General features: G+C 39.2%; 1 long non-coding RNA gene across 1 annotated transcript; it reads left to right on the top strand.

Moving 5' to 3' along the window:
- The first annotated feature begins 100 nt into the window (after positions 1-100).
- On the top strand, positions 101-2,347 carry LOC124903295 (uncharacterized). The gene is made up of 2 exons (XR_007064091.1): positions 101-191; positions 1,983-2,347. It is a non-coding gene; the product is annotated as an uncharacterized LOC124903295 (long non-coding RNA).
- The last annotated feature ends 9,310 nt before the right edge of the window (positions 2,348-11,657 follow it).

The raw sequence follows: 11,657 nt of genomic DNA on the forward strand, positions 1-11,657 counted from the left end.
AGCGGCTAGGGGCTGGGGGCTGGGGGCCGGGACCCGCGACCCGCCCCAGGCCTCGGAGCGCGGAGGTGGCAGAGGAAGGGAAAGGCCAATGTAGGGGCGGGGGCCCTGAGCCAAAGACCCGGGAGAAACCGATCTGGGTGCAAGAGCCGGTGCGACTTTCACGGCTTGTGGGAAGTTTGTGGGCTAGAAAGGTGGGCTGCTTCTGTGAGCTTCTCTGTGAGACTATATTCGAAAGGACAACCAGGAAACATTTTTTTTTTTCTCTAGGAAAAAACGAATAGACCCAGCCGATGGGTTTTTATCCTGTGCGCTCCTTCCTTTATTCTTACGATAGCAAACTCAAAGATCTAATGGGGCCTGACAGGCACTGTAACTGGGGGAAGGCGAACTGGAGAGAGCTCCGAAGGCAGGGCCGCTTATCTGCTCTCAGGGTCCCTTGCTATCGGGCAAGAATTAGACCTAGTGTTGCTAGATTTTCTGATTTTTCCAGAAATGACGGAGTATATTCATGTACAATATCCTGATTTGTAAAATCTTGATAACAAATTCAATTTTCTCAAAACACCCTGGACTAAACAAAACATATCTGCGTCCCCTCCCTGCTGAACCCCCCAGACAGTGATTTGAGCATTGTGATTCTGCACTCTTTTAGCGAAGTGGTGCTGAGTGCTCACTGTGGTTTGGGAAAGTGCTGGAAAGGATCCAAGATGATTCAGAATATCTTCGAAGTACTACTAGTTACTAGGGGAAATGGGTTTTCCTGACAGTAGAGCGCTACACTTAAATGCTGGAGCGTTCAAGAAGAAAGACGTTACTAATGTAGAAAGCGGTTGTAAGAACTAACTTTTGGGAAACATCATTAGTAAAAGTATCTGTGTGGGGAGTCACTGCAGGGCCGATAACAGTGCCCCGGAAGGCACTTTTGAGCCTGAAGCAATAGGAAAAACCCCTAAACTTACCCTGTCTTTATTTAAAATTTTGTTATTTTTCATCATGCATTTTTGATATTAATTTTGATTTTTTTAAATATTCCATTAAAATATTAACCTTGATTACTGAATTCTTTGGTGAACCTTTAAGTGCTGTGACTCACCTCACCCTAGCCTGGCCCTGTTGGGGTGTTAGATGGTGGTACACAGACCTGCTTGTTTGGAGTGCAAGGGGTAAGCATTAGCATAGTGAAATAGGAAAGAGGGTTTGAGCTGTGGATGGGGGCTCAGGCAGAAGTCCTGACTGTCAGTCTGTGGCTCCTGCACTTAGTTTGTAGACTACGTGGAGATAGCAGAGATGCTGGGGGAGGAGACAATCCGAACTGAATTCTGTGAAGATGGACAGGGCAGCAGACCCAGGAAGATGGTTTGGAGGGGAAGAATGGGAGAAACGGGGATACCTAGGATATCATAAAACTGATACCCTAGGTATCCCCATTTGGTAGCTACAGTTTTATGAAAATCAGAGAAAATTGCCTGAAAAAGTAAGTTTCTTTTGCTCTGCCTATCTCTGTAGAGACATGTCATGGGGCTACCTTAGTGCCAATGAGTAGTGTGCCGGGGTCCTGGTCTTAACCTCAGCCATTTCCCTACCAGGCTTCCATGGGCAAGTGGCTCAACCTCTAAGCTTCACTTTCCTCATCTGTGGAAGGGAAAACAATTCTCATGGCGTTTTTGTGAGAATCCAAAGAAATGTATGTCTAAGGGCTTTGAAAATGTTGAGAGTTCTTACCTACAAGTCATCTATGTAAAATTTGAATTGAAATAAGGGCCTTTTTGCTTGACAAAAGCTCTAAGTAGCAAGCTTCTTTAATTTAGCAAGCCTTTCTAATGTGTTGGGATGATATTTACAAAACTTTGGAATCAGCTTTTGGGTAACTCAATAATTTTGTGAAGTAAGATACTACTGTACTAGCTTCTATTGCCAGTCATCTCCCTCTACTACCTTCCTTTTTTATCTTCACTTGCCTCTTTTTGTTCTCAATATTGCAGATCTAGTCAAGAGGACTCTCTCCCTCTGTACAAAGTGTTCTCTAACTCATGTACCGGTCATCACGGTAGTGTCTGCCTCAAACACCTGGGACCTACCTTAGTGTGGGAGGTGATTCTCCCTGCAGGTAACCTAATTTGTTGCTGCATTCATGGAGAACAAACCACTGCTTATCTATGGGAAGCATTTTAAGCATGCAGACCTCTCAAAGAAAACAAAAACAAAAACAAAAACAAAAAAGACCGTGGATGTTTAAACAAGAAGCCTTCCAGAAGTCATGTAAAGGAGGAAGTACCTAGCCCAGGATCTGTCACATAACAAGTAGTTACAAATATTTGCAGAATAAATAGCAATTTCCATCGTCAAAGTCTTCTGCATCTGTTTCACCTCCCACAGTGCCTAGGATTTTTTTTTTTTTTTAATCACAATAATGGTAAGGTCATAAAGAAGAACAAGAAGAACAGGAACTAAACATTTATGCAGGGAGAGGTTCTGTACTTTAACAAGTGAAATGCTTTGCTTACATTTTAAATTGTATTTTTAATTCTTGTTAGCAAATAATACATGGTATTTAAAAAAAGTTCAGTGCACAAAAGCTCAGTACAAGGAAAAGCAAGTTTCCCTTCTCAAGAAAGACTAATGTTGCCTGTTTCTTGCATATAGTTATAGAAATACCCTATGCACGTGAGAGCAAGCATAGTCATTTTCTTTTCCATAAAATCTAATCACAAAATGATAGAACTGAAAAAGACCTTATGGTTCATCTAGATGTTAAGTTAGAGGCTTTTAAATTGCTATTCTGGGAAAGAAAAGGAAAACCTAAAAGCGATCTTCCCTGTTTCATAAGTAAGCTCATGATTGTAAGGATGCCAGATCACGTGGCAAAACCCTCCATGTGAACATTAATCACATTAAGTGATACAAGGGAAAACTGAGTTCACCTAAAGTTGCCCTGAAACCCATAATGCCCACTGTCGACCTCAACCTAAAACACCCATGGATATAGATGTCTTAGGTTCCCTACGGCTGTTGAAGGAAGTGCTGTCTAAATAACAAATGGAATAAATTGACATGGACACAGAGGGCTTGATCTGGAATTGGGTATTATAATGTGACTATTTTGAACAGCATCTCTTATGCATCATCAATCACAGTATGTCTTCAAGACTAGTAAAGTCTATATTTAAAATTTTTTTTTCTGCTACATGGTGTAGCAAGTAGCTTTTCAAATTCTTCATTCTGATGATGTAATTTCAGATAAGACATTTAGGAAGTCATCAGCTTATTAACTTTTGGGTTGAACCATATGAAACTGCCATTTTTGTTGGTCATAGTTTCTAAAATATTGGAAATTTCAAATGTTCCATCTTCATTATATTCCTCAAAGTTAGTCCTTGTTCTAGAGCTGTAAGAGGACTTCCTTTAAGTTTTTTAGAATATCACATTTTCCTGCAAGAGCTATGTCACTAAGCTAGTTCCAAAAAACCTATTTAATGTTTGTGGTTTGTAATGGTACCAGATTCACATCTGGTCCTAGGAACTGAGCCTATTCTGTTCAACAGGGTCAAGAAAAAGAAATAAATTTCTCTTCCTCTTTTGAGGGGTATAGCACCGGCCTTTCTGGGCCTTGAAATAGGTGAAAATAATAATTATTTTCCTTTCTGCTCTTTTTGCACCTTACTTCTCCAATATTCTCCTGAAATCCTTTTTCCTGTACCTATTGTCCTCATTCTGTCTGGCCTTTTTCTATCTCAATCAGCTTGTCTTTGCTCTTTATTCTTAACAATCAGCATTCATTTAGTATGCTGCAAGTTGGAACTAAGTAAAATAACTTGATTAAATGAATTCACAGTCGTGTGCAAGACTATCTGCCGTTCCAAAGACATATGCAATTTTAAGAGTATCTTGTAGTTGCAAATGAACATTTCCATAAGAAAATTTTGGAGTTTGAAAAATGACTAGAGAAAGAATCCTGGTAGTGAGGGGCAGAAATAATATATTGAGGAGCAGGAACATTTGGTTCAGTTCCCCATTTTTATACATTTTGTAATTTCTTCTCACCCTTTTACTTTAAAAATATGGATTCTTTTAAAGTTTAGGATTTCATTTTGACTTTCACAATGGCTGTCTTGCCAGTAGCAGTGAGCACCTCCAGACTAGGGAGAGGTCTGCGCCTACTGTATGTATGTGCCATTTGTAAATTGGGAATGAAATGTGTCGCTTCTGGTAACATCGGTATGATGGGATCTGGGAGACCTTCGGAATTCAGATGGGCTTATGGAGCTTATATTTGGGACCCTATTCTGTTTCCTATACAATTACCCTTGGTCTGTGGTTTTATCCTTTAAGGGTTCTAGCTGTCTATAACTGGAGTCCACCTTCTTTTTTGACTGAGGTGACATGGTCCACATTTTATCTCTAATTTACTAAACATATAGTTCCTTCTCTGCTCTGCTTTTAAGAGTCAAGATAAATATTGACTGCTGATATCAAATTTGGTGAGCTTTGGCCCACTATCATTCACTATAAGATGGAACATTTCTGAGATATGTGGCAAACTGTGGTTCTCATTTCTTCCTTCTCACCTTTATCGGTTTTCCACTGTTCTCCAAGCTTCTTTCCAGTTTTCTAATTATATTACTTTATTCCTGAAACTGCATCAGCTTTCATATGCCAGTGTTTATAAGTAAGACATAGATTAGAAGGAGAGATAGTTCTTTGGAAAAAAACAAAAGAAAGCAGTTTTTTCTTGCAAAAGATGTGGTTACATCCTGAACTTGGTTGCTCTGTAATCATTTTATATTTCTTAGCAACACCCTTTCAATCAGATTATTAGTTCCTTGAGTGCCGAGAACAAGTCTTAAGGATCTTTGATTACCTCACCAAACACCTAGCACAGAGGAAAGAGACAATCAACAAATAACAGTTACAACTTGTTATCATTCAGGTGAGTCACTGGGGACAGGAGACAAATAGTTCATTTTAGAGATAAGGAATCTGATATTTAGAACACACATATAAATGTAAAATTGCATCTGTGATAAGTTACACAATCAAAAGGTACATTGCGTTATTAAAAGTGCGTAGTAAGGTTGGGCGCAGTGGTTCACGCCTATAATCCCAGCACTTTGGGAGGCCAAGGTGGGTGGATCACCTGAAGTCAGGAGTTCAAGACCAGCCCGAGCAACATGGTGAAACCCCATCTCTACTAAAAATACAAAAATTAGCTGGGTGTGGTGGTACAGGCTTGTAATACCAGCTACTTGGGAGGCTGAGGCAGGTGAATCACTTGAACCTGGGAGGCGGAGGTTGCAGTGAGCCGAGATCGTGCCACTGTACTCCATTCTGGGTGATAGAGTGAGACTCTGTCAAAAAAAAAAAAGTGTGTAGTAGAAACAGTGAACAGAACAAAGGAAAAGAAGACTGTTTTGAAGAAATGATTAAGCTAAGGTCTGCAGGATAAATCTGAAGTAGTTAAATAGGCAAAAAAAAAAAAAAAAGCAAAGAGAATTTCAGGCAGAGAAAATAGCATATACAAAGGCACTATGGTGGGAGGATGTATGTAAAGGTTGGAAGGAATCTTAAAGGTCTTTAAGTTTGACCTGTTGCCAATCCCACAGACTTTTCTATGTAACCCAACATCTAATAAGGACAGCTGCCACAAAAAGCAAACTGTCCTCAGCAAGAGACACCAAGAAATCTGGTATTAGGAGGCACCATGCCGTGGTAAAAAGTGTATGGATTTTATATTGGACAAATGTGGGTTTGAAATTCTGTTCCAACTCCTTGCTTTATGATCTTCTACAACTTTTCTGTCAGCTGTCTTATCTCTAAAATAGGCATATTAAGATCTATTTATAGTTGTAATTGGAGGATTAAAAGGGAGCACATATGTAATATGCTTAGAACAGTATCTGGCCCACGGCAAATGCTGAATAAATATTGCACTTTCATCCCATGACCACTCATCTTGGTAACTTCAAGAAAAATGGAAGGGGGAAACCCAGAGTGTGTTTTGAATTTCCAGTCTGAGCTGTTTCTTAGAAGCCTTGCCTTTGCCACAGGCAATCCTATTTTACTCTACAGATGGAATATAGCATTTCTTTTTTCACACACAGAAAATGTTATATACATAGAAAGTGCTTTTAAAAAATTTCTACCTTCTCTTGTCCAGATGTCCTAGTGTTTCCACCTATTACTGTATTTCCAAATACAAGCTCAAAAAGAGTAGACTAATAGTTTAGAGATTTCATTATTTACGTTTATGAAGTTATGACTCAAGATGTGACTAGTTCTGGATTGTGGTCATAAATAGTTACATATGGCTCTTCTTCCCTTATTTCTAGAATTGCTTGAATTAGAAGTGTTACAGAATAATATCCAGCAGAAAAATAAAAACATACAAAGGCTGTTTTAACCACCCTCTGCAGCAGCAAGGCCTCTATCTTAATGCAGACATGGTTTGTTGTATTAAGTTTGGAGTTTAGTAGACTGAACCATCCTAATTACTGCTTCCTTTATTTCAGCAATATTTTTGAAAGACCTATTTTTGGGTTAAAATTACTCTGTCTCCACCAAGAGCCAGAAGAACTGCTAGACTTTGAGCTAACAAAGAATCCCTTATTCTGCTAGGACACAAGTGAGTCAGTGACCACACAGAGTTTCTGTGCTGTTGGTTTGGAGATGATGGAACGATGCAGTCCACCTGCAGTCTGAGATGGAGAGGTCTTCTATATTACAAATGCAGGGCAGCTCCTTCTCTTCTGTTTATTAGGGTCCCTGACCCCTGCCAAAAGTCTAACAATGAGAGAAGCACTGCTGCTCTGTCCTCAGAAGCTTTCCAGGCCCCATGGACCTGCACAGCCAGATGTGTGGCCCTATAATTTCCCACTGCATCTGCCCCATCTTGGAAACATAAGGCCTAGAATGTTGTTATTCAAAGTGCACTTCTTGGACTGGCAGCTTCAGCATCATCCTGGGAGCTTGTAGAAATGCAGACTCTCCCGCCTAGCCCAGACCTGGTAGATCAGAATCTGCACTTTAACAAGATCTCCAGGTAATTCATTTACATATTAAAGTTTAAGAAGCACTGCCCTCGCTAGGATACCCAGCCAGAAAGACTGGAGAAAAACAAAAAGCACTTCAAAAATGAAATCAATTTTCTTTGCCCTGATGCCCTTTCTTACTCCAATTTCCAGGCCCCATCTCTGTGTAGCTAAATCCTCCCCTTTTTTTGAGCTGCCTGAAATGCCTCTTCTGCGGAAATCTTCACTGATAGAGTCAGCCGGAGGCATCTCCCACTCATTTACCTGTATATTTTTCCTTTGGTTCTTACCATGGTTTGCTTCTTACACTGTACAAGTATCTATTTATGGGTCTAATCTGTCTTGCTTGAGGCCTTGCTGGAACCTTCTTTATACTCTCTACAGTGTCTAGCAGGGCAGTCCCAGAAAAACAAACAAACAAACAAACAAAAACTTATTTATTTATTGAAAGGAAGGAAAGAAGAGAGGAGAGAAAGAGCTCAATTAGTGTAGTAAATAGCTCTAGAAAATTGAGTTCAGCCCTGGGGGTGGACTTGAGCCTGTTTGATACAGGAACCCAGGAACCATGTTATATCCATCCCAGAAGAGCCCCCATTAACTGTGGGCATGGAACTATCCCAGTTTTGCAGGAGCTACTGGCCTGGATCAGATCCGAATTCACCTCATCACAACACTCCCCAACCAGACCTGGCCAAAATCAGCCTACCCTCTCTTTCTGGAAGTAGAATAAAACTTCTGTTTGCTAGGGCCTTGACCTCTGGCTTTAAGCATGCTGTGGACTCTCAAAGGATTACCCTCTTTCCCTACTTTTTGTCTCATGTCTATTCCCACCTAAGAGTTAATATATTAGTTTATTTCTTTAAAAAACGTATTTTGGGAAAGCTTTTTCAGTTTCTGGCATCTTTTGTTTATAAAGAAACCTTTTTGAAAAATATTTAGTTTTTATAATTCAAGTTTTGTAATGCCTCATTGAGTAAAGGCAATGAGTTTCTGGCTGCAACTTACAAGTTAAAAGAACAAGTCATGGCTGGGCATGATGGCTCATGCCTGTAATCCCAGCATTTTGGGAGGCCAAGGAAGCAGGATTGCTTGAACCCAGGAGTTGGAGACCAGCCTGGGCAACAGAATGAGACCTCATCTCTACAAAAAAATTAAAAAAAAAAATTTGCTAGGCATGGTGTTGTGTGCCTGTAGTCCCAGATACTTGGGAGGCTGAGGCTGGAGGTTTGCTTGAGCCTGGGAGGTTGAGGCTGTGGTGAGCCATGATCACAGCCACGATCACACCACTGCACTGTAGCCTAGGTGACAAAGAAAGACCATGTCACAAAAAAAAGGAAAGGAAAAGAACAAGTCATTTCATCACTTTTAATTGATAGCAGACTCAATTAAAAACTTTGATCTAGATTAGACATACGGTGCCATATTTACGATAAATCTATCTTCCCAACAGATATCCCAGTGTCACTATAATTTTATCACACATAAAGTATAATGGGCAATGCTCCTAGGACTTACAAGAACTTAGACTTCACTAGTGTTGATACAGTTGCAATTCATACAATTAGTATGACCCACATGGACAGATTTGTGGCAGGACCTGCAGTTCACATAGAGTAGGCATATTTTCTTTGATAAGCGTTTAAAAAGTATGACCAGTTTATCCGAGATGAGTCATTTGGGGGTAATGTAATTTTTTATACTTTCGAAGAAAAATTGGTGATCTTCATCTTATGTGAAAAAAATATTCAGAAGCTGTGATCCTGTGAGTCTCACCTCTGTAAGTTTTCCTCAAGGAGATACTTAAAAAAAAAAGAAACAGCTCTATTATAACAAAGTTATAACAGCAAAAATGGGTAACAAGAAAATGGAGAAATAAGTACATTTTATCATATTTATTTGATGGAATATTATGTATCTTTTATAGATAGTAAATGGGATAACTTACTAGAGCATTTATAAAACCAGCTCAACTGAAAATATTCAGAACATAAAATCATATAAAAGTATTATTGCAACGAATCACATACCTAATATTAAAAATTTCTCTAGGTCAGGCACTGTGCTAAACACTGGGGATACAGCATGAAAAACATGAATATGATTCCCAACATAGACCTCACAGTCTGATGCAGGAGAAAGATATTAAGCAAGTAAACATATAGTTACAACCCATAACTCATGCTGTGAAGTAAGAGTATATTAATATATAACAGGGGGACCTAAGCTGGTTGCAGTGTGGTGGGGGCTGTTCATCAAGGCACCCTCTGAGGAGGTGATGGAAGAATCACAGTTAACCAAGAAGGGACTAGTGGAAGACTGTCCTAGGTGGAAACACTAGGAACAGAAACCCCAAAGTGGGAAAGGGTCAATGCTACCTCTTTTACAGGAGGGTTTGATATTTCCTCTTTTACAGGAGAAAAAGAAGGACCAGACTGATTGGAACATAATGAGTAAGAGAAGAAAGGTAAAACTGAGGGACCAGGTCATGCAGTGCCTTCAGGATTTATCTTTCTAACCTGCAGGGAAGCCACTGAAGCTTTTCAAGCAGAAGAGTGGCAGGGATGCATTTACATCATAAAACCACTCTTGTGCTATATGGTTAAATGGATTGAAACAAATGAAGAGTAGAAAAAGGGATGCTGGGCATGATGGCTTATGCCTGTCATTCCAGCACTTTGGGAGGCCGAGGCAGGAGGATTACTTGAGCCCAGGCATTCAAGACCAGCCTAGGCAACATAGTGAGACGTCATTGCTACAAAAAATAAAAATAAAAAATTAGCCAGGTGTGGTGGCCCCTGCCTGTAGTCCTCAGCTACTCAAGAGGCTGAGGCAGAAGGATTGCTTGAGCCCAGGATGTTGAGGCTAGAGTGAGCCATAATTGCACCACTGCACTCCAGCCTGACTCAGAAAAAGTAGATGAAGGGTGGTTTACTGCTTGGATTGCAGTAATCCAAGCAAGAGAGATGACTGTGGTTTAGACTAGATATGAAACTGTTAAATGAAGAAAAGTAGTCAGATTAAGCTATATTCTAGAGGTAGGAAAAACAAATTTTACTAATGGATTGGGAATAGGGATGAAAACATTAACTATAGTCTTCATATTACTTCCTTAATCCACTGGATAGATGATGATGCCATTCATTTATTTTTTATGCTTGAAAATTTAGGAAGGAAACTGAAAAATCCATTTTGGACAAGAAGTTGAGATCTTGTCAGAAAGCTAAATGGAAGGGTCAAATAGATAGTTTAAAATACATGTGTGGAACTCAGAAAATAGATGTTTGGAAATTATATATTTGTGAGCAATTAGAATTTAGATGGTATTTAGTGCTATAGTATAGAATGATTGTAGAATGACTAGGAAAAAAGCCCATGTTTAGCCACAAGGAACTATACAGAATTAGAAGGTCTTGATGAGGAGGTAGAGCTGTCAAAGGTGACTTGCACATTGGAAAAGTGTTGAGTAATTCTAGAGCAAGGAAAATCGTATTTCAAGATGGAAGGTGTGGTCAACTGTGTTGAATACTGTTGAGAGGTCAGGCAAGATGATGTGCTTCTATGGATAAGAAACAGTTGTTTTATTAAAGTGGTGGTTTTAAAAGTATTTTTATAAGTTTAAACTTTAATCATATCTGATTCATTTAATAGCTCAATTTCATCAGGATATATTTATTTGATCACCAAATTCTTTGTGATAATTATTACTTTTGCATCTCTTTATTTTCATTTTATATATTAGTTAACTCTCTTCAATTTAGGATTAAATCTTTGAAAGTTTTAAACCTAGCCGGACATGGTGGCTCATACCTGTAATCCCAGCACTTTGGAAGGCTGAGGCAGGAGGATCACTTGAGAAGTTAGGTTAGAGATCAGCCTGGGCAAAAAAAAAAAAACAAAAAAACTTAAAAAAAAAGTTTTAAACCTGCCCAGCTGTCCAGCCTAGTAACACACTTTCTAAATGCACAAAGTCCCTATTTTTGCAATAGGCAGCATATAGAATATACAGTTTGCTACATGTACAAGAATTTGAATAATCTATAACAAATGATCTATTTCTTTTATTATTTATTGAATTTCACCAAAAGTGCTCCTTTCCCTAAAAATGATAAAAACTACCTTATTCAGATAAATTCTGATCTCAGTTTGACAGATATGCATTAGGCAAAGATGACTGAAAGTATCAGAATAAGATGGTTTTTTTCTTTCTTTCTTTCTTTCTTTCTTTCTTTCTTTCTTCTTTCTTTCTTCTTTCTTTCTTTTTCTTTTTTTTTCATTCTGATATTCTGACATTCAGGAACTGAAGAAAGGACTTGAGATGATTTGGCCAGGAAGGACAGGAACTGTTGTTTTCCCAGCTTGGGGAGTGGGAAGGGTGGGATAGGGGAAACTCTCTAACCCTTCACCTCCAACCTGCCACTTATACCTTGACTATTCACTTTTTTCAACATGACTCAGAGTGTCACCACCCTGTGGTACTCATGAATAAAGAAAAAGAAAGAGGAAGGAGCCCTCAAAAGGACTGGCCTTAACAAAATTGGCAAGACTGCATTCACTTTCCCTAACTCTGCACCTTAGGTTTTAATTATGTTGTTATAAAGCATTCTCTCCTCATGCACAAATTCTTCTTGGCAA

The sequence above is a fragment of the Homo sapiens genome, chromosome 14 (assembly GCF_000001405.40).
Source record: "Homo sapiens chromosome 14, GRCh38.p14 Primary Assembly".
NCBI lineage: Eukaryota > Metazoa > Chordata > Mammalia > Primates > Hominidae > Homo > Homo sapiens.